The sequence below is a fragment of the Homo sapiens genome, chromosome 4, assembly GCF_000001405.40.
Source record: "Homo sapiens chromosome 4, GRCh38.p14 Primary Assembly".
Lineage (NCBI taxonomy): Eukaryota > Metazoa > Chordata > Mammalia > Primates > Hominidae > Homo > Homo sapiens.
The window spans coordinates 166,907,134-166,931,834 of NC_000004.12; the positions used below are offsets into that span (position 1 = coordinate 166,907,134).

The 24,701-nt window shown below is 34.4% G+C and overlaps 1 protein-coding gene and 1 pseudogene across 12 annotated transcripts in view; both read right to left on the reverse strand.

The window, feature by feature from the left end:
• SPOCK3 (SPARC (osteonectin), cwcv and kazal like domains proteoglycan 3) overlaps positions 1–24,701 on the reverse strand; it is a 501,562-nt gene that overhangs the window by 173,750 nt on the left and 303,111 nt on the right. For 11 of the 12 annotated variants that reach the window (XM_017008258.2, XM_011532018.2, NM_001204355.2 and 8 more), the window contains one exon: positions 5,487–5,610. The exons of the other annotated variant lie outside the window; for it this stretch is intronic. In XM_017008258.2, the coding sequence (XP_016863747.1) occupies positions 5,487–5,610 (124 nt within the window). The remainder of the gene's footprint in view (positions 1–5,486; positions 5,611–24,701) is intronic. 12 annotated transcript variants of the gene reach the window in all.
• RNA5SP171 (RNA, 5S ribosomal pseudogene 171) lies at positions 11,231–11,345 on the reverse strand (annotated as a pseudogene).

Sequence of the window (24,701 nt, forward strand, 5' to 3'; positions counted from 1 at the left end):
ATATTGCAAGATCAAAACACAAGTTATTGTAAATGGTAGACAAAAATCAGGCACCTGTGTCTCTAACTCATTGCATTATATCTTCCCTACAGATAGACCACTGGCAACAAGCTGTGGGAAACACTGATCAGAGCATTAGGAAAAGAACTTAGTATCTAGAAATGCATGTAAAAGTAAAGGGACTGGGGTGGAGGTATCCTGGAGCAATGTACCCTGTGTTCTCTTAGAAGCCTCTATTCAAAGGCACCAGTCATTGATCAAGTCAATGAGCAATCAGGGATTTGAAAAAACAAAACAAACACACAAAAAATGAGTTCTTTTCCTACCTGTGAAGCTTCTTTGCAAGTGTCTTTTAGTTGTTTGCTTCACTGTAAGTGGCAAATTTAAGAATTCACATTTTTCCCAGTAACTGAAGACAAGAGAGGATGTATTTTGTGCTTCAGCACATGGTTCCAGGGAGTAAGGATAGCGAGTGTTGGAAACAAAATCAGTGTAAGGAGAGGAAGGCTTTTCTGACAATTAGAACACTCCTCAAATATAGAGGTTTACCTCGCAGAATATGATTTCATACCAGGGACTTTATTGCATAGACATTTGTCCTAGATGTTCTTTTAAGTTCCTTTTAAATTTGAAATTTTATGATAAATTTCATTCATATTATTTCCTTTAATGTTCAGTGCTGTAATAAGAAAGTATCCCCATAAATGATCATGATAATGTTCTGGTGCTGTAATATTGATCGAGTTGGCATACCTCAGCCAAAAATCAAACGCAACCTAAGTGGAAAAGCAAGTCAAATAGAAAGAGTGCACATCCATTTCTGACAGTGGATCTTCCAAAATCAAATGATCTCAGCTCTAAATATTCAGAGGAAAGAAGATAGAACAACTAAATACTAAAAAGTATAACATACCAAACTTCTCATGATTAGGTGTCAGAAATTATCTACCTTTCAAAATGTTCATATAGTTGCTAGAATTAATAACTATTAAGAGAAAGTAAGAACATGCCTCAAATATGGAAAAAATAAATGACAGAAAGGTTAAAACATTATAGTAGCATGTTGAAACTTAAAATAGAAAGTTTTTGAATTGTAATAAAAAAATTAGGCCTTCCCCTTTAATGCTAATGTTATTGTTCACACACACACACACACACACACACACACACACACACACCCCTACCTTTTATTTAAGTATTCAAAGGCAATAATTTGAAGGGATGCACAGTGATTCTCAGCCATGGCTACACATAAAAGTCACATGAGGAGTTTTAAAAATTCAAATTCATGGGGCCCCATTCCAAATCAATTTAAGTAGCATCTCTACAGCTGGATTTGAAAACTGCAGTCTAAAATAGGTAAGCTTTATATTTGCCTTCCTTCAAAACCATGCACACACACACACACACACACACACACACACACACAATTTTATGAACAATACTAATTTCTAAGGAATTCATGATTGTTTAGTTCAATTGCCAAGCACTGCATCACTAAATATGATAGAAAAGAGTTTAAAATCATCCACTGTTGTCCTCAGGGAATTTATATTACACATGTTCTACTCAAGTCTAAAAGGTTAATATTATTTATTGACTTGTGCTCACGGCAAATGTAACGTACACTTTACATAACAAAGTGGGAAATACATCCATGATCTAACATAAATGGTATATTGAAGAACATTCCTAGTTCTTACCGCAGCTTGACAATACAATCAAAATAGACTTTGCCTGAAGTAAAGAAATGAAGGCCTTCATCTTTTGTGTCAATTTCAAGAATGATTACCTCTCAAACAACCTTGAACAGACTAACTATATTTTTATTTTTCTGGCATTGCTGAATTTGAAAGAATTCAGAGAACACTGGTTCTTTTAAAAAGAAAGATTAAATAGGCTTCTAAAGAAAGTAAATAATTTTTCTTAACAGGAAAAAAGGCAATGTTCCAAAAATACTTTTTATGAAAATCACAAATGTCCCAAGATTTTTTCAAGTAAGCCTATTTATCCATAGTTCCTCATCTATTCATTTTTCTTTTTGTGTATGCATTTTTAAAATACTCTACTGAGGATTTCTAAAAACGCTGATTAACTTCAAAGCTTGAACTCAAATAAAATAATTATTCAAAATTGGTCACATTGCATAATGAGGTTTACCTTTTAAAATTATATCTTAGTTATATCATTTGGCTAAAGTCTTTCTTTGTGTACCTTCTGATATTCCTCTTTCCCACCACATCCCCCAGCTCCTGCACCTGACCTCACCTCCAGTTAAGATGTGCAATGAAAATATCATTTATAATCTCCTCTCTATAAAATAAGCTGAAAGTAATGAACAAACATTGTGGGTCTAAAATAGAACTTGTAGGAATATTATTTGTAGTATTAAAAAAAAACCATTTGTATCAATGCATGGGTCAACAATTCAGCAGACGAATAGGAAAGGCTTCCACAGCAAGACTGCACTTCCACACTGAATGTAGGGCCCCACATCCAAGACTCATCATATCTGGCTTCTGATTAATCTTTAACATATCAGGACTACTCAGGGGAGGATTTAAAACTTCAAGCAAGGAGCTTCATGGACCCTACTGAGCTTAGAATTTGGAGCTCATCATTATTGTTCAAATGTGTTTAAATCTGACCTGTCATAATTTGCAAGTTTATTGACAAAATTTAGTGATCCAAGAGCCAGAAGAAAGATCTTGTGATCTCTTATCTATATTCTATTTTCAACTCTCATAAGCAGATGTTGGGAACATAATAAAATGACATTTACAAGAAGGTACTGGCCTTTGTGGTCTTTGTTTTTGATCAGTAGCTAAATAGCCTAGGGCAATACTTTCTTATGAGGGGGGAACAAAAAAACACCAACATATTGAAGTCCTTAATTTGAGATTCAAATCAAATAAACTCTTAAAAAAAGATTAGTAAGGATAGTTTCACCTAAATCTTTACTGGGCTAAGAGTTCTACTTAGTTTTTCATTGTTTTATATAGCTCAGTCTCATTGCTGTCAATGCAAAAGTTTAAGATTAGGATGGATGGTTCAAAGTGGAAAAGTCATTAAGTTAAATTAGAATTAACAGAAATAAAAATGATGATTTAGGGTTATTAAAGACCCATATTCACTTGAAGCATGCTTTTTGTAATGTCTTTCTATGTAAAAAAGCATTTGTTAAAAGTGACATTTATGTAAATAAATATTAAAATAATAATTCAAATATGGATTATCTATAAGATTGGTTTTGTTGATACTACTAATAAAATTAGATGATTTATAAGCCAAGGTATCACAGTGTGCCTCACGCCCAAGGAGAACAATGAGGAAACCCCATGAAATTGAAGATATACCTGAATTAATCTACGTATAATACGTGCTTTTAGTCTTGAATGAGAATATGAGAGCTATTTCTTACATGCTAAGTAACTCTAACATCATCAATCAAGTCTTATCAAGTAGAATTCCACTTATAATTGTAACTTGGTGTCCTATGAAACTAAATTGGGAAAGGAAGGATCACCTGCTAGGAGCAACCTCAAAAGAGTCCCAAAAATGTCAGCAGAAGCCAGTAGACTTCTGTTAGCACTCTCTGGGGATGATGACACCCTAGGCACAAACATATCAGTACTTCTGGCACATATTTCCAATGTTGAGAAAGACATACTTCTACTTAGGTGGATGCCAGTAAAACTTTCCAATCTCTCTACCACTGACTCAATTTATTCAATCATCTACACTCACCAGATAAAATTAGGATTAAAATTTACTTCCTCTGTAGTTCTTCCTATCAGTTTGAATATTACAATCTGCATCCTTCATTATAAGTCAATAAATCAGCAAAATGATTTATACATCATTTCCATGTGGAATTTTATAATATGAGATAGATTCACTCTCCCTTGTACTGGCAACAGGAATTCACTAAACTTGCAAAGCCAAGGCCCTACCTATACCATGTTAAATTCACCAAGATCAAGACCATGTTGAAAGGACCCCTGACACACTCCTCTCCTAGCGATAACTCCGCTTCTATATACATCTATAAAAGTTTAGCAGGTAGACATATGACAGCTTCACTAAGGATACACAGTACTTGGCACCTAGTGTGTACTATGTATTTAGTGACTGAATTAATTAAGAGCATTGTAGTGCACTTTCCCAGATTTGTAATTGTAAAAGGCAAGTGGAAGTTTTGGGGAAATATTTGCTCAGACAGATTATGATTCATAAGCAGGTATCCACAAAACCAAAACATATAAAAGGTAGGAAAATTCTGGAAATAACTGCAGTAAGCACAATCAGATATGAACTGAAGAAAGGTTATTTATAGATTTAATGTATACTCTTTAATAAGAATATTTAAATTGTTGCTTAAAAATGTATTAATATGTTTTTGTTTTTGTTTTTTGTTTTTTGAGACAGAGTTTTGCTCTTATTGCCCAGGCTGGAGTACAATGGCGCAATCTCAGCTCACTGCAACCTCCGTCTCCCTGGTTCAAGTCATTCTTCTGCCTCAGCCTCCCGAGTAGCTGGGATTACAGATGCCCAACACCATGCCTGATGCATTTTTGTATTTTTAGTAGAGACGGGGTTTCACCATGTTGGCCAGGCTGGTCTCAAACTCCTGACTCAGGTAATCTGCCCACCTTGGCCTCACAAGTGCTGGGGTTACAGGCGTGAACCACTGCACCTGGCTTAATAGTTTAATTATAGGGTAAGCTCCTTCTAGGGACACTGCATAATATGCTACACTACCTTTCTAAAATATATATTTTTTAAATCTAAATTTTTAAATGTATGCAGTCCCTAGGGTTTCAGATAAAAGACAGTGAACCTGAACTCCTTACTTTCTGTTACATAAGCTAAGGAAATTTATCAATGTCTTATTTAGGCAAAGTTTGTAAAAATCCCAAAATATTTTAACAATATGGGACACTTAATTGGGAGGAACAACAATGTAGAAGAGAGAGCAAAGGCATTGAATCAGAGATTATATCAAATCCTAGCTTCAATGTCAACTAAATATGTGAAACTTGTCAAATTGCCTCTCTGATCCTGTTTTTTTCATCTGGTAAAGAGATTTTTGGTGGCTTAAATGAGATAATATAGGAGATAAAATATGAGATTAAAAAATAATTCTAATGACAGATTGTAGCACATTTATTGTTGTTAAAATAATATTGATCACTAAAGCTATTGTACAGCATGCTAACATTTCTGACTTCTTTCATAGTAGCAACAAAGGAAAGGTTGGCTTTGATATCTGAGGGTTCATAGCTTTAGTATTTCAAACCTTAAAAATTCTGATATAGAAAAAACAAATGCACATTGAATCATATTCCAAACCAGTGAGATTATTAATTTATTTTATAAGTTAAATGAATAATTTGAATTATCACATTGGATAAGCAATGGTTTTAATCATTTACTAATAAGTATGCATCCCTTATTTCAAACTAAACAACTGTAGGTGTCTTTACCTGAAAAGAGTAGGTATGACCATCTGAACCACAAACAGGGCTGGGATAGACCACTGGGCACTGCTTGCAGGTGGATAATATGGGACCCCTCCACTGCCTATGGTCTACTCCTGCTTCTTTCATCCTGTTAAAAAAATAAAGCAAGCATATTGAGCATATTTATTTTAAAATATACATTTATATTAGCTCATTCCTCTCCTAAACTGCCATTCCAACTCCTGAAGATACATTAGAATCAACAAACTATTCTCATTTTTAATTTATTATTTCATGCCATATTTTTCATTATAATCTTTTGATTTATATCTTAAGGCTTGCCTCTGATAAAAAAGAATATGTTCCTTAAATATATTCTGCTAGTCACATATAAATGATAGCTGTATTTCTTCATGTGAACCCTTTTGATAGACTCAGAAACAGAAGCAACACTTGCTCAGCAATAAAGAACTCACACATCTGGCACCTTCTTAAAAGCCATCCTCATGTTCCATTAGGAACAATATAAAAAAGATGACATCTAATCCACTGGGTGCCTAAAAGTAAGAGTGGCTTACTTTTAGAGAAAACAGAAATAAAGAATTACAATTTTCCAGGATTTATCAGTATTTAGAAAGCCAAATTGCTAGGTTTAGTGATAACAAATCTCCTTTTGTTGTGTAAAAGTGTCTTCAAATAGATCCATGCAGCTTTGATACAGAATAACTGGAAAAAAATCCATTCTCTTCTGCCACCTACACTTACGATTGTTTGTTTCCCCACTTTGGTTAAATTGCTTTATTCCTTTGCCTATTTGTGTGAACAATTTACACAGAGTCAGGAAAATGGCTTGAAAGTTAGAAAAAAAATTAACTGAGAGTTCATATAAACACATTTAATATTTGAAAGTCCTGTAGTAAATCAATATTCATTTATTACAACTGCTTATGGAGAGAGTAATTTGATGCCTATGTCAGGATGAGAATAGATATTTTACCAGAAACATTTTTTTTCTTTTTGCTTTTTGTTTTCTTTTCATGAATATGTCAAACCTACAAAATAGTGGTCCCAAAAGACTATCAAGACACATTTTAAGGGCTTTCATTATAAGGAAAGAAGTTTGAACTATGTGTTTCAAATTTTGCCAGAGTTTGGGTGGGCATTACACATAGATTATTTTCTGTCTCTCTCTCTCTCTCTCTCAAAGATTTTCATGAAGCCTATCATAGTTCCAAATACGTTCTCTTTATTTCAGTTTTGTACATTCTGCCAAAAGACCACATTAAAACCTTGCTTTGCTACAAAGTTCATCTTATAATAGATACAATGGGAGAAAATAAACATGCCAATTTTTCCTGAAAAACAGTTGGCACAATATCCTAGTGAGAGATAAAACAATGATTGAAAAACGTGGGCTATTCTGTAACACTTCAAGATTTATAAATTACGAAAATGTAGCAGATACAAATTAAAAAAAAAAAACCATTCTACTTGCACTGAACTTTCACTGTGTGTAATCAAACAAGACATGAAATTACGCAACAATTATTTGCTCTTCAGATACATTAGGAGAAAGTATAAGCAAGTTTGGGCTTCTAATCAGTGAAAAGTATTTTATTAGAGCAAAAGAGGATTGTAGTAAAAAAAAAATAAGACGTATATGTCCTTTATGCTTAGGTTTATATCCCATCTCCATATCTCTTCTTTACTTCATCTCATTCTCCTTTCCTAACACATATAATTTAAAAAACCCTAATGATATCTGGAAACTAAACATTGTTGTATTAATAAATTTCTCTTATAAATATAACATTTATGACTTAGAAAATCTTTCAATTTTAATTTAAAGAGTAAATATAACTAGAAGTAAATTTTTAAAAAGTTTGAAGATTTGGCTGGGCACGTTGGCTCACGCCTGTAATCCCAGTGCTGTGGGAGGCCGAGACAGGCGGATCACCTGAGGTTGGGAGTTTGAGACCAGCCTGACCAACATGGAGAAATCCCGTCTCTACTAAAAATACAAAATTAGCCAGGCATGGTGGTGCATGCCCATAATCCCCGCTACTCAGGAGGCTAAGGCAGGAGAATAGCTTGAATCCAGGAGGCGGTGGTTGCCATGAGTCAAGATCACACCACTGCACTCCAGTCTGAGCGAAACTCCGTCTCAAAAAATAAAATAAAATACAATTGAAGATTTATTAGAAATTTGTGAAATTGAAATGAGCTCTTAAAAAGTAAAATTGTAATGTACTTGTAAAATAGATTTTGAAGTAAAACAAGATTAGTTGTTCTTATTCCTTCCAGTTTTAACCATACGGAACACTAAATAAACATGTTCATATTCTTTTTTTTATTATTATTATACTTTAAGTTTTATGAGTGTATCAATAAAAATGGTACTTTTTATTTAGTTTTGATGCTGGTCAGGATTTGCTGGAGTGAAATATAATCACCAACAATATACAAATGCATTTCTCAGTCTTATTATAGGAATACAAAGTACTTCTACAAATTTATAGAAGTCCAACTCTATGTGATATCACCTGTCCACCTATATGTAATATCACTATTCATCATGGGAGAGATTTTTGCATTTCCAGACTCCTTTTATAAAAATGTATCCTAGATGATGAGTTGATAGGTGCAGCAAACCACCATGGCAGGTGTATGTGTATACCTCTGTAACAAACCTGTACATTCTGCACATGTATCCCAGGACTTAAAATAATTAAAAAAAAATGTTTCTTATGATTCATAATGTGTTTGGTTTGGCATCAGAGATTGTTCTCAGAATTAGTGTTCTTCTTAGTCATTTAAATTTTTGTTTTGTTCTTAGAAAAATTAGCCAAGTAGATGAAGATGTAACATTAAAAACTTAACACTTAATACCTGTGTATGATATATAATATGTAAACATATATAAATTATATATACACGGAAATCATCTGTTGTTGGTCGGTTTTTAATTCTATTTTGAAGGCCCCATTTAAGAGAGAGCAACGTGTTTCTAAGAGAGAAATGAAGTCACATAGTCATTGTATAGGTGAAGATGAGCAAAGCAACATGATTAGGGAAAGGTGTATTTGGCTCAGGCTATGAGAATGGTTGCCTGGCAACTGTGGCAAGAGGAATGCCCCAGGTAAGAAACTAGATCTGGGGAGAGCACAACTAGGCACATTATTCTGAATATTCTAGGTGCAGAAAAGATTAACCTTCGAGCATACATCTAATTTTTTGATACACCAAAGGTCATTTGCAGTTAGTTATCTGAAATTATTAACAAATAGGGTGATACAACTTGCTTCCACTAATGAAGTAAAAAACCTAAGCTGGCTGAAAAACTCTGAACATTTTCAGAAATTGGTCTTCCAACAGTAGCTCCACTGGAATAAACGTATGACTTTCAGACAATTATTTTTTCAAAAAAATATTCAATTCTAAAAATCTGAGTTAAAAATTTATTTAGTTTATAACTGCATCCTATACAGGGTCACAACCCTTCCCTTAAGGAATAAGAAATTGTATTTTTGAACCCAGGGAAACGAAGCAAATTGAATAACATATAATAAACTCAAGTTTTCTTTTTTTTTTCCTCAGAATCATTCGTTTCAAAGATTCCAGATTCAAGGCCCTAAGATAGTTTCATATAATTATAAATATTATTATGTTTTTAAGAGCTGGAAAATTAAACTAATAACTAAAGAGGAATTCATACTATTGCTAGCGTTCTTTTAGGTGACTCACTTCTAGGCAGTTGAATCATATTATCTTCTTACCACCTGAACTATTATCTTGTATTCATGATTTAACTTTCACTCTAGTCTTCAATATGTCTCTAGCATCAGTCTCATATGAAAGCTCAACAGTCTCATTTTCCTAATAACTATAATGTTAATTGCTGCTACATTCATTTACTCATTTATGTTCTACTTAGTTTTCTGTTTAAGTTAATCATGTTCATTTTAACAAAATAATTTGAACAAAACTTCCATGTTTCAGGATTTACACTGATTTCTGAAAGAGGGTAAATGATGTTACCAAAATGGTTAGCAAAAAAACAAAAACCACAAAAAACCCTCTCATTCTAACTTGACTTGAATTTAACATATGCCCATTTCATTAATCAGCCTTGGCAAGCCAGCCACCTCCCTCGGTCTTAATTTCTTCACTTGTGCAATGACAGGTTTCATTATTATGGATCATTTGATCTTGAGTAATCCATCAGTCTATAAATCTTTAATACAATTACTTATATGAAGATGCTTAGCAAAAGTTAGAAGCATAAATAGTGCATATTGGCCACATGTTATGATTTTAGGATTTGATTTAGTGTTAACAAGTGAAGCAAATATATCATTATGGGGTGAAGGATGAGGTTGGATGTTAAAAGAGAGAGCTAGAAATGCTGAAGTTGCAATGCTGGGCTGTCTCAAGTAGCAAATGAAAGACATGGAGGGAGCCCAGTCATATGATAACCAATGAATGAAAGGAAATAAAATGTGGCGTGGTTGTGTTAAAAGAGGCACAGTTTCCATGAAAGCTATCTACAAATAAAATAATATTTGCATTACAATGTCAAGAAACAAGAAATCATAAAAATAAATGGTATAACACATTGATTCTCTAAATAAATATTTTTCTTAAACCTTGTAGTTCTTGAATCTGATACCATATAGTAGAAAGTCTCAGTTCTTAAGGTCCTAAATATGCAAGCAGAATAAAATGCCAATTTATGCATTATATATTTAACTTAGGAGAGATATGGTTTGGCTCTGTGTCCTCACCCAAATCTCATCTTAAATTGTAATCCCCACGTGTCGAGGGAGGGATGTGGTTGGATTATGACGTAAAAAACCTAAGCTGGCTGAAAAACTCTGAACATTTTCTGAAATTGGTCTTCCGACAGTAGCTCCACTGGAGTAAATGTATGACTTTCAGAGAATTATTTTTTCAAAAAAATATTCATTTCTAAAAATCTGACTTAAAATTTATTTAGTTTATAACTGCATCCTATACAGGGTCACTGTCACTCACTTGTGATAGTGAGTGAGTTCTCATGAAATCTCATGGTTTTATAAGTGTTTGGAAGTTCCTCCTTTATTTTTCTCTTTCCTGCTCCTTCGTGAAGGAAGTGCCTTGCTTCCCCTTCCCCCATGACTGTTAAATTTCCTGAGGCCTCCCTAGCCATGTGAAACTGTGAGTCAATTAAACCTCTTTCCTTTACATATTACCCAGTCTCAGGCATTTCTTTATATCAGTGTGAAAACTAATACATACCAATATTAATTTAATTATTAACAGAAGGATTTGATTATAATCTCATAAAACAACATTCAAGTGAGAAGAGATATTCTGTGGAATATCTCAACTGATGGTGACTTAATATATTTCTTCTGCACTCAATACACCTACTATTTCACGTCCCAAATCATTTGCTTTTTAAAATTCTGCCAGAGTTGTGGTAGGATTATTTCTTCAGATATGACTGCCAAGTCATGATTTCTTCCCTATTGGTCATAACTTTTCAGGAAAGAAGGCTACTTTTATTACATTTTGCCATGGGTCTTAGCAAAGGACAGTTGCTATTAGCTGACTGCAGTAAATTATCTTTCAGTGTGAGAAAATTATATAAAAGCTGGAAAAGCCTACATGGAACTTACTAAATCTACAATGAACACTATTTACTTTAAATGATTTCTATATTGTATGTCAGGAATTTGAGCATTAAAGGAAAATATCATAAGAAATAAATTTTAAGTAAGGTATATACTCTATGAATGCAAAAAAGTATTCTGTCAGCCTCCTATCCAAATACTAACCAGGCCCAGCCCTGCTTAGCTTCCTAGATCAGAAGAGGTCAGATAGGTTCAGGGTGGTATAGAATTAGGCTGTAGACTAAAATACTTTATAAAATAAAATACTATTAACAATGTTGCTATAAAAAATGGATGTTATATAAGAAATCATTTGACATAGCTTATTCTGCAATATGAATAACAACCTGATTTGCTCTATATATTTTCAAAGGACAGAAATTCACAAAAAAACAATTTTTAAACATATTTTAAAATACAGTGGGAGAAGTAATTAATGAAAAATACCTTTAAAAATTATTCCTAAGATAAATTAACTACAATCTGATACAGTTTGCATGTTTTTTCCCTCCAAATGTCATGTTGAATTTTGATTCCCATTGTTGGAGGTGGGGCCTGGGGGAAGGTGTTTGGGTCATAGGGGTGGATCCCTCATGAGTGCTTTGGTGCCATCCTCATGGTAATGAGTGAGTCCTTGCTCTATTAGTTCTGGTGAGATCTGATTATTTAAAGAGCCTGGCCTCTCTGTCTTGATTTCTCTCTGGCCATGTGATCTCTGCACACCCCAGATCCCCTTCAAATTCTGCTATGAGTGGAAGCACTCTGGGGCTCTCACCAGAAGCAGATGCTGGCACCTTGATTCTTGTACAGCTTGGAGAACCATCAGACAAATAAACTTCTTTTCTTTATAATTAAGCCAGTCTCAGGTATTCCTTTATAGCAACATAAACTAAGACACAATCTAAAGAATGATTATAATAATAAATTTTCAATATGAACTGTGCTTATGAGGCCAACAAGTATGATGTAGAAAAGTTACCAAGAAATCAAAGCAATCAGTGATTTAAAGTACATGCTTTACAGAGCGTTTAAATTAAACATCAGGATTTAGAGTTTAAAGAGAAGTGGATAATTTATAATGAGCACCAATTTCTTTGAACAGATCCAGTTATTATCATACTTGAATAATATATGCTGTCAAGTAAATGATTTTTTAAGTGGTGGGCATATTCATAATTACTGAAGGCATCAATAAACTCTTTCAAAATTTCAATAGGCATCACGACAAATGACATGACTGCATATTTCCAATCTCCTTTTCAATCTGACCCTCAACAGTAAAATAGCTTTGAAATGTATAAAATGTAGATGATGTCAAATTCAGATTGTAGTGATCCAGGTCCATACTCTTTCCACCTACTTAATTCCACACTATTTCAATTACTAAAAACCCCTTCATTTAAAAAGGTATATTCAACTGCAAATGATCTTCATTGTATAAGATATAAAGAGTCATTACCAGGAGTTATAATGGACAAGAAATCTTTATAAACCCGTTTCCAGCAAAATGCAAGCCAACAGATTAAGAATTTATAATCTCATGTGTGACAAATTAATTACCTCATTAAAAGCTATGTATAGTTATCATCATTGAAAGAAGTGTTAGAAAGTTATTTTTTCTTTTAAATCAGTATAATATTAAAATGCATTATTTTAAGAACTAAACCAAGTATTTAAATAAATCTAAGGTTAGATTTACATGTATGCTGATAGCCTTATGTGACAGACACATATATTACATTGTTTATCATTTTAACAATCTTATACAGTGTGTATTAGCATTTAAATTGTAAGGCTAGGAAGAAGTAAATTGACGGAGCTTAATTATCAAGTCTCTGGTGCGTACAATTCATAAATATGGACTTCCAGGGTTATCCTTTCCACTGGGCCATTTATGTTTCCTACCATAAGCATACATATAAAATTTTAAACGTAATGGAAAACCACATTCCAATATTCCATAAATTTCTAGACCCGTTGATGTAATAGGTTAAAAATGACAGCATCACTACCTCAAATTTTAGTTAGAATCTTCACCACCACCAAAATACAAGGTGGTGTCTGGAGAGTATACCTCCTGGCTAATGAAATCTGAAATTTATATGGTGTGAAATAAGTAATAAAATATCATAATCTAGATTCTGAATTAGTAAAAGGATTAACTAACTAAGGTATGAATTGGTTCTATTTAATTTGTATTGACAGGTATATTTATTTTCATTCAAGATATTAATGTTCATAAGCAAAACAAGCTTTCAACCATTAACTGTGCTACTATTTTAACCTTAACTAGCTTACAGTGTCAGCACTGAGCAAAGTGTGAACTAAGATTTGAGTTCATAAAAATATGTGATTCTTAAATATCAAGGAGATTCTATATTTGGAAAAATGTATTCACATTTTAAAAATAGCAGTGACAGATATGCAGCTTAAAGCGAGAAAAATATTTTACCAAAAGAAAATGCCTAAGCGCAACATTTCCTAAAAGACATGGAAAAATATTGTTTGACTATTGAAAACACATTTTTATATATATATAAATGTCTTGATTGTGAAAAATTCTTTTAATTTTTAAAAAATTTTCTTAACAGAAGCCAATGATTTTAGCTGCTTTTAAAAATAGATCTGAAAGCTTCAGCAGAGCCATTTAACAATTAAATGCTGCATTTTATTTAAGTAAACCGTCATTAAGGACCATCCAAAGTTCAGGGAGACAAAACACAGCTTTTCCTTCATACCCTGTCTTTGTGGAAGTCATTATCATTGCCTTTCTCCTAGCTTACTGCTTTATTGGGAAAGGAAAGTTGCAGAAAGAAGAAAGAAACTACCATGTTTTGCTTGAGTCTGATTTACAGGATGAAACAAACGATTAAGTGTGAAACCTCCACTCTGCATTAGCTCTGACAGCTATATTTGAAGTACAGCAATTTGCCCAATCACATGTCTGATTTTTCAAGTTAACAAGTAATTAATAAAATTTAAAAGGCAGCCTAATATTTTATCCTATAGCATTTTTCTATCAGATTGTATTGGTTTCCTGTCCTGGAAGAGTATACTTTCAAACATGTGTTGAATTTTTTTTTTTTTTTTTTTGAGACTGAGTCTTACACTATTGCCAGGCTGGAGTGCAGTGGCACAATCTCAGCTCAACTTCTACCTCCCGGGTTCAAGCAATTCTCTTGCCTCAGCCTGCTGTAGCTGGCACTATAGGCGCACGCCACCACGCTCAGCTAATTTTTGTATTTTTTGTAGAGACAGGGGTTTCACCATGTTGGCCAGGATAGTCTCAATCTCTTGACCTTGTGATCCGCCCGCCTTGGCCTCCCAAAGTGCTGTGATTACAGGCATGAGCCACTGCACCCAGCCCGTGTTGACTCTTTATTGGTATAACCAGGAGTAGGGGCAGACTCACTAGCCAAGGAACTGTTCTCCTGGAAATTGTATCTCAATACTTTGTACTATATATTAAAGACTATAAAAAAGCCTTTCAAAAACAGTTTTATTATTGTTACTTATATATTATTACTTATAGTTACAGCTACATAAATGTTCTATGAACTGAATCAGGTACCATTAAAATTCCCATCACTATCTCTCCTAATAAATTATCATCTTCTAACCTACAAATAGTACCTATGCGCCCTTCTAGATACTGTTTAGTTATTTGCTCATAAACGTACAACGGGGGTCCCCAAAAGCCAGGCAGTGGCCCAGTAGCCGTCACCTGTTAGGAACCGGGCTGCACAGTAGGAGGTAAGCAAGCCAGCATCACCACCTGAGCACCGCCTCCTGTCAGATCAGCAGTGGCATTAGTGCAAACCCTATTGTGAACGGCGGACACGAGGGGTCTAGGTGTTGCCCTCCTTATGAGAATCTAGCATCTGATCATCTGAGGTGAAACAGTTTCATACCCAAACCATCTCCCACTCCCCTGTAAACCAGTCCTTGGTGCCAAAAAGATTGGGGACCGCTGCCCTACAAGATATTCAGGAACAATTTCACACCCTAGTGGCATCAGAGGGATAGAATCATTACATTCATGGAATTCAGAATTTATTTGTGGACAAAAAAGTAGGAGTAGCTTTTTGTAGGATTTTTCTATAGTCTAAGAAGTGATAAGGACAATATAGAGCCTATCTCATGAAGTTATATTCATCTTTGAGGTCCTGACTTTGATGCCATTGGTTTGTAAATATTTTCTAACTCCTCTTATGCTTTTATATGTCTTGTCAATTCTAACAATCACCTATATAGTCATCTTTCCTATTTAACCCAATTTATACTCACACTCCCCTAATTCTGAGTCCCTTTCATGCTCTAATGACATCTCTCATGACATTAGGAGACGTATCTGCGCCTAATACCTACTCTTTCCTTCCTTATGCTGTTTCTCTAATTCTGAAGTTTGGGAGATTATGGACCCACTTAGAGCAAAGGCCACTTTCTGTAGCCTACAAATATTTCTAACTTCTGTTGAACTCCACTTACAAGCACGCAGGAAGCAGCAGGGCAGTAAAAGATGTCATTTTAATCACAGTATGATATTGCATATAAGTTGAATTTAATCTCAGCATCCTTTGGAGTCAACATACCAAGCATTCTGACCTCTGTGCAATTTGCCCAATCAATGCCTGTTTTTCCTTTCGTTAGATCACACTTCCAGAAATACAGTTTCTAAGATTGGGGGATGTGTTAGTTTCCCATGTCTGCTGTAATAACTTACCAAAAACTTGCTGATTTAAACAACGAAATTTAATCTCTCACCGTTAGGAATCTAAAAGTCTAAAATCAGTATCTCTTGACTGAAATCAAGGTGTTGGCAGGACTACACTCTCCCAGTGGGGGGTTTCCAGGTCATAATCTGTGCTTGCTTCTTCCAGTTTCTGGTAGCTATTGACATTTCTTGGCTTATGGCTACAACTTTCTACTCCATCTTCCTATCACTTTCTCCTGTTTTTGTCTGTGTCAAAACTCCCTGTCTCTCTCTTATAAGGATACATGTGATTACATTTAGGTCTCACCCTGATAATCTAGGATAAATTCTTCCTCTGAAGATCCTTAATGTAACCATATCTTTTGGCACACATAGTAATATTCACTCTTATGCTTTATAAGATGATATTCGCAGATTATGGGAACTAAAATATGGTCATATCTTTTAGGCCATCATTTAGCTCACAACAGGGAGAATACTCAGAAAAGAGAGATTCTATTTCTCTGATAACAAAAAAGCTTCAGGAATGGAGTCCCTAGTTTGGAGAGATGTCATAATTAATTCCATGCATAAATTCACATAGACAGTATATTTTGCCCTGTCTAATCAATTCTTTCACATCTAATGGAAAAACGTATGGTCCATGATGATATTTTGGGACTCATACATTGCCCATTAGCAGCCACAAGACTGTTCCCATCTATGCTTTGTCTTAATCACAAACCACAGCCAGGTCTAACTGATTCTTCTGTCAGTAAAGACCAACTGTAGGTTCCCAAACAAAAGGTATTTAAATTCATCTAATTTCCCAGTGAATTTCAGCACAGTTTGTACTTTTTACACTTTACTGATTTTTAGACACTACATAACTGTTAAAGTTGTAAAGAGTAGAAAAAAATAGACCCCATTTTTATGCATTAAAAATTAAAAATGGCAGGCATATCAACATCCCTCATTTGACCCTAAATTTTATTAAAGCAGGGGCTAATGATAATGGGGTTTCTTTTTGTTCTTTTGCATTTAGCAGTCGTGGTCACTGGAGGAAAGCTGAAAGAAAGTAGTGGGTACAAGGCTTAGTGTCACAGAATTGGGAAAGATACAGGCTTTGTGACATCCAAGGTTGACATTAGCTTGCCCGTTAAAAGCCAGTCAGTTAGAATAAAATAAAAATAATAAACTTGCCTCTGAATTCAAACAAGTGTCTTTTTTTCCTCAATGTTATTTTATGCCATAATATAAAGGAACATCACAAAATATTTAACATAATTTCTTCCCTTTGGTAGGTTCAGCCTATCAAAGACTCTTTTCTGCCCTGTGTTTTAGAATTTTTAGCATGCTTTCCATTATTTATTTAGGAAGCAAGCATTCAGGAAATTAAAAATTTGGCTCTTCACAACTGTAAGTGAAAGAGTAATTTATAAAGGCTTTTAAAAAATACTTTAAACCTTTCAGAACACTGTTAATTTACTGCATGTTTTGGTTTGTCACATGACTTTTTAGAATAACAAGATCCATTTAATCTACGAACTCATGCTAATTTCCCCTTGAAAAATGCTCACCACAGTCTCTCTTGCCCTTCTGACAGCTTTTTTCTGACCAACTGGAGGCCATAAAATATACTACATGCTAAGAATTGTCTACACTTCCTAACTCCCTCACTAACAATGCCTGAAAGGCATAGAAAGATGACTAATGACTTATCATGTTTGCTGAACACATGGCTGGTAAGTGGAATGGCTAGGCTGAAGAAAAAGGTTAGTAGGTCCCAGGGTGTGGACTCCCATGGTTAAATTAAACCGACCTGGAAAATGCTGCCAAGGAGTTAGCCACCGTCTTCCCACCATATTGAAGGGAAGCTGAAATGGGCAACTTAATCTAGTGCAACTTGTTAGAGACTTTTGATAAAATAATAACACTTTTTTACTCTCATTTGTTTCTCTTGTTAGAAGTTTATTTGTTTTAATATTGATTTGATAAAAGTAACACTAGCATTATTTAGGATTGGGGTTCCCTGGGGTACTTTAATCACTTCCCAGCAATAGATTAAATATAACTTTGTAGTAATCTTGTCCCACAAATGTCAGTGGATATATAGAGAGATAAATATCTATGCTTATATATTACTATGGCATGGCTAGAGAAGGAAATTCTACAAGCATGCTTATAGAACAGGCAATACATAAGCAAGTAGCCATAGCTGTATTCTAATAAAACATTTGTATGAACAATGAAATTGAATTTCATATAATGTAATGTATCACTAAATATTACATTTTTGATTATTTACCCCAACTCTTTGAAAATACAAAAACCATTCTTAATTCTCAGGTCCTACATAAAAAGACTGTCAGCAAGATTTTGTACACAGGTCTAGTTTTTGACCCTGCTCTAAGAAATAGTAGAACTACAAAATAGAAGAAAAAACGTATTCCCCAAATCAACAAAAAAGAGACCTCACTGCCTGAACCTGAGAATACGCTTACTAGTTTAACGTGTGTGTAAAAAGTACATTTATATTGTGTGATACCATTGAAATTTGGGGGTAAATTTGTTATAGCATTATGATAAATAATATAGATATTTGAAGCAATCTAGACATATTAATATCTAAAATACATCTTATTTTAACACAGTCAAAAAATGAAATAATAGAAAATGATTTCTAGCCTTCTTGGTTTCTAGTGAGACATCAATTCAACCACTCCAAGGTAAATTTTTTTTTTTAAATATTTACAAACGATTCTAACTTTCAAAGCATAGAATCTCAATCTTGGACTTGAGAGTGTGAAGAAATTTTAAAAGCAAAAATACAATTCTCAACAAAATATACCTCAGAGTCAATGCTGTGCTTGTGAATTTCCCAATGTGCAAAGTGAAAGAGTTCTAAAATCCAATTTATTTTAAGAAAACTCATGGAGCCACATGAACGCATTAAGCTTATTTACCAGTTTCTGTTTGTTTAACAACTCACTTTAAACAAGTATGCAAATATATCTATGTCCCACTAGAAAATCAAATAAACTTCTTCTCTAAGTTACACACATTAATTTACACTCATATATTTACACAACCACTTGAGTGAATGATTAGTAGACAGATTTTTTCAAAGCTTAGAGAAATTTTTATAGGAAAATTATTATTTGAATAGCATAGTCATCAAGAGAAAATAAGTGATGACATAATAATCCCTTTGGTGAAGCTAAATTTTACAAGCCCTTTGACCGGAGTGAAACACAGGTGTTGAATAAATGGTAAAGCTTTACTAAATATAGAACATGAGAAAAAATTATCATTCAGTTTATGAATTATTCATTGAGTCTCATATTCAATAATTATTTGAACCCTATGGGCTCTTAGGAGTAGGTCAGCATACTCATAGCCACACAGCACAGATAGCCAAATCTGTAGAACTTCAGTTTTCTCAAATATTTGAGGAATATTATACATGTTTTTAAGAGAAAATGGCTGCCTTTGGTATTTTCTTCAGGCTATGCTATTCAGATCCCGCTTGAAATAATTCAATGGGAAGGTTTGATACCTGGGTGTTTTTTGCTGTTGTTGTTTTTGTTTTTGCTTTTTTTGTTTTTTTTGATGAGTATTTGAACTTAGTTTTTGGCTTCTTTGACAGAATTTTAAAATGTTGCCTTTATGTCCAAGCAACCCAACAGCTGGTAGGAGATGCTTTAACTTTTACCTCTTCCCTATGACACCTGACCTCCTTTTCCTCTATGTGAGACCCAGGAGAAACTAGTAATAGGTATGTATGGAATAATTATTTTTAGACAAAAATCATCCCAAGTTCTATTTTAGCAAGTTAGTAACTAATGCCCTGTTACCTCAAACTCTGCAAAAAGGACCCTCTGAAATACACTTAAAGGGACAATGGCCACATTGAACAAAGTAAAGCAAGAGAGGAGTCTGTCTCTCTCGCGTTTCAACATTTCCGTAAGGTGTGAAAGAGAAAAAATTCAGAATGACTTAATTTCAAGATTTATAATGCTTAAATCCCTGAAAAAGGGGTGTAAGGTGACTAATAGCAATGGACCCTAAATTCTCTAAAAAGTCCACATATATATATTTCAAAGCTGCAAATTATGACAGAAAACCTAATATGAAGTTAAGGTAGAAAATATGGATTTACTTGTTGGAAGACATAATACAGAATAATTTCAAATAATTTCTTCAATAATAATACTTTACAACCTGACTAGTAAAATTATCCCATTCATATGGTTTCACTCTGTATCCCCACCCAAATCTCCTCTTGAATTTTGGCTCCCATAATTCCCACGTTTTGTGGGAGGGATGCTGTGAGGGATAATTGAATCATTGGGGCGGTTTCTCCATACAGTTCCTGTGGTAGTTCATGTGGGCTCATGAGACCCGATGGTTTTATAAGGGGTTTCCACTTTTGCTTCTCTCTCATTCTCTCTTGCTGCCACCACGTAAGGAGTGCCTTTCACCTTTCGCCATGATTGTGAGGCTTTCTCAACCACGTGGAACTGTGAGTCCATTAAACCTATTTTTTCCCCACTCTCAGGTATGTCTTTATCAGCAGCATGAAAACAGATGAATACACCCATAAAGTTGTCACACTCTTCACAAAATGTAACTCAAAACGTATCACAGACCTAAATGTACAATGCAAAACTATGAGACACCTAGAATTTAACATAGAAGAAAATCTACATCACCTCGGTTTTGGAAAGTTTTTTTAGATACAACGCAAGAGGTATGATCCATGAAAGAAAGAATTGAAAAGCTGTATTTCATTACAATTAAAAATTTTTGTTTTGTGAAAGACAGCGTCAAGAGAATGATGAGGAGACAAGCCAGAGACTGGGGGAAAATATTTGCCAAAGACATATCTGATAAAAGTCTGTTATTCAAAATATGAAAATAATATAAAAAACTCAACAATAAGAAAAAAAAATGCAACTTAAAAATGAGCCAAAGACCTTGATAGACACCTCACCAAAGATGATATGCATACGGCAAATAAGCACATTGAAAGTTGATCTACAGCATATGTTATTCAGGACTCGCAAATTGAAACCATGGGATAGCACTATAAACTTATTAGAATGGCCAAAACTCAGAACGCTGACAACACCAAAAGCTGGGGATAATGTGGCACTATAGAGACTCTGATTCATTGCTGGTGGGAATGCAAAATGATACAGCAACTTTGGAAAACAGTTTGGCAGCTTCCTCTCAAACTAAACATACTCTTACCAAGGGATCCAGCAATTATACTCATTGGTATGTACACAAAAAGTTGAAAAGGTATGTCCACACAAAAGCTTGCAGACAGATGTTTATAGCAGCTTTATTCATAATTCCAAAAACTTGGAAGCAAGCAACACGTCCTTCAGTAAGTGATTGAATAAACTGTGGTATATCCAGACAATGATACATTAGTCAGCACTAAAAATAAACTTTAATGCAGTAACTGGAAGAAGCCAACCAGGAAAGGCTACCTACTGTAAGATTCTAACTATAAGAAATGCTGGAAAAGGCAAACTATGAGACACAAAAAAGATCAGTGGTTTGCCAGGGGTTATTAGGGAGGAAAGGATGAATAGGCAGATCACAGAAGACTTTTAGTGGAGTGAAACTACTCTGTATGATAGTATAATGGTAGATACATGTCATTTTAAATTTGTCCAAACCCATAGAATGTACAACACCAAGAGTCAACTCTAATGTAAACTATGGACTTTGAGGCCAGGCACGGTGGCTCACGCCTGTAATCCCAGCACTTTGGGAGGCCTAGGCGGGCGGATCGTGAGGTCAGCAGTTCGAGACAGCCTGGCCAACATGGTGAAGCCCCATCTTTACTAAAAATACAAAAATTAGCCAGGTGTGGTGGTGGGTGCCCGAAATCCCAGCTACTCAGGAGACTGAGGCAGGAGAATCGCTTGAACTCAGGAGGCAGAGTTTGTAGTGAGCTGAGACCATGCCATTGCACTCCAGCCTGGGCGATAGAGTGAGACTCTGCCTCAAAACAACAACAACAACAACAACAAAAACTATGGACTTTGAGTGATAATAATGTGTCAGTATAGGTTTATGGACTGTACCAAATGCACCACACTGGAGGAGTATGTTGATAATGGGGAGGGTTCTGCAATGTGTGGGGGCAGTAGGTACATGGGAAATCTTTGTACCCTCTGTTCAGTATTACTGTGAACCAAAACAGCTCTAAAAAAGTAAGTATTTTAAAAAGAAAGGCAGAATGTTAGCTTTAGGTTTAAAACACATAGCAGAGGTGTTCTGGTTTGAATTGATGGTTTAGTGCTCTGAGAATACTAGTTTAGGGGTAATTTCCTATTTCTTCCCACTGCAGAAGTGAGTAATTTGATGATTTTCATGCATATTCTAAATCTTCCCAGAGCTGTCAAAGTGCTTCAGAAACTGAATGTTTTGAATTTTTCCTTCTTGATTGTGCTCACAATGTAGGTGCAAATAGATTGTAGATCAATGTTATTAAACTCCTTTATTTTCAAAGTTGGGATCAGTATTTTCTCCCTAGAAGATTTCAGGGGGATTAACTCCAAAGAGCAAGATTTCAGTAGCTTAAATATCCTTATAGTGATTTTGTGAATCCTGGTAATTGTTTTCATCAGAAATCTCCCATTTTTATGCAGATTCTTCATAAATTCAAGAACCCCTTCTCCACTATCTGTTCAGTTCTTGAGTGCTTTTGGGAGGTGTTGCTTCATTTAAGTATAAAAACAAGATGTATACTACTCACCTTGCTCAACTGGAAGATACGATATCCATTAGCTATATGATTTTTCCTCTTAGCCTTTCCCCACACCCTACTTAGCTTGAATTATTAGTCTAAGATATGTAAATTATTAGTCTAATACATGTGAGAACATAATTAAAAAATTTTAAACATTTGATTATATGTATAATGTTTGCATCAATTAAAAGTTATAATAACTATCATAGCAAAATGTAGTGGTCTTTACTTAGTCTGTTAAGAACTATTCATCTAAATAATGTTTAAAAAATGACATACTTAAAGTTTCAAATGAGGAAAATGAACCATGATGTAGAGTCATTTTGTTTTGGAATACTTTCTAATAAACTTTTAGCTCTCTGACTCCTTAATTCTATATACTATTTTTATTGAATCTTTTTTCTGCTAGATATAATCGACTGACTTTGTTTATAAAAAAATGTTTTGCTAGAAGCATAACTAATCTTTGTAAAAAAAAGGAACTAGTTTTAATAAAATTACAAAGAAAACATATTTTTCCCTCAAAACATTGGAGATGAAAGGGAAGAAAAAGGGGAGTAAAGATTGAGCCATAAACACAAAGTAATACATGTTTACATATATAAAAGCTGTCAACATACCTCTTTTACTATTTGTGCTATATGTGTGTAGGTCATTTTAATCATCATTGATTATGGTAGTTTCCTCTGTCATTATAAGCAACAAGTGTATTTTTGTAGAAAGGAGCTAGTCTTATGAAACTGACATAAATCCTTTCAGTATTCTACCCTTGTTAAAAAAAAAAAGACAATGATAGTCACAGTTCAATGGACAACTCTTTAATAATTCTGCTGGCACCATAAAAATGAGAAAAAAGCAACCTTTCATGAGGACAATACATCAAAGAGAAATGACTAAAAATAAATTACTACATGATGAAAAGGTCAGACACTTAAATTACCACAGAAGGCACTTATGGAAAACATTTGCATTTCCTGTCAAGTGATCATAAGGCAAAGCATAGACAGGAAGTTAGCATGCATTATCCTATAAAACGTATGTCCATGAGATCAATTTATTTTTGTCCCAGAATATTACATTTTTAATAAGATTCCTAATATCACTTTTTAAAATTAAGTTTTAAATGTAAAACACAGTCACTTACTAGATTTGTTACTCAACATATAAATGTGTCAATTTGTCATTTGCCAAAACGGGTAAGTGGGCTATTTTAGGGGTTTCATTAATGTCTCATTCTACGTTTCTTGTAGTTATTTGCCTACACACAGAAACAATTTTCCTTTTTTTTGACAGAGTTTCACTCTGTCGCCAAGCTGGAGTGCAGTGGTGCGATCTCAGCTCACTGCAACCTCCACTTACCAGGTTCAAGCAATTCTCCTGCTTCAGCCTCCCGAGCAGCTGAGATGACAGGCGCCCGCCACCACGCCCAGCTAATTTTTGCACTTTTAGTGGAGATGGGGTTTCACCATGTTGGCCAGGCTGGTCTCAAACTCTTGACTTCAAGTGATCTGCCCACCTCGGCCTCTCAAAGTGCCGGGATTTCAGGCGTGAGCCACCGCTCCCGGCCCAGAGGCAATTTTCTATATGCATACAAACACACTACTCTAGGTGTGTGTGGGGGGTGGGGGGGCAAGAAAACCTTTGAGTTGCTTTTAGCCCTGCAATTAGAATATTGCTTTAAAACAATCCACTGGTGCACATAAAAAAACAAACTATATCACATTAGTTTACCTAATATTTAATATTATATTCTTTACATATTAATTTTGTTTATAATTTTATTCCCCTGGAATATAAGTTCCTTTTGAACAGAGATTTATGCATATCTTAATTTACTCTATGCCTATGACTAGAATACTCTGTAATACATAAGTGCTCAAAAATATTTATTTTAAAAACCGTGAATAATAGACAATAATTGGTATCTATTCTTCATCTACCTCCATTTCATTGTTTAGAGCATTCAATTTATATTTTGTGTTTATTTTCACTCTAAAGTTCATTTCCCAAGTATTGATCACTTGTGTTATGTTTTCTAATTCTGATTTTAGGACAGGGACATAGTTAAATGTTTTACATTTCTTTAGAGAGAAGGAGCGGCCAGTATCAGGATCTCAATA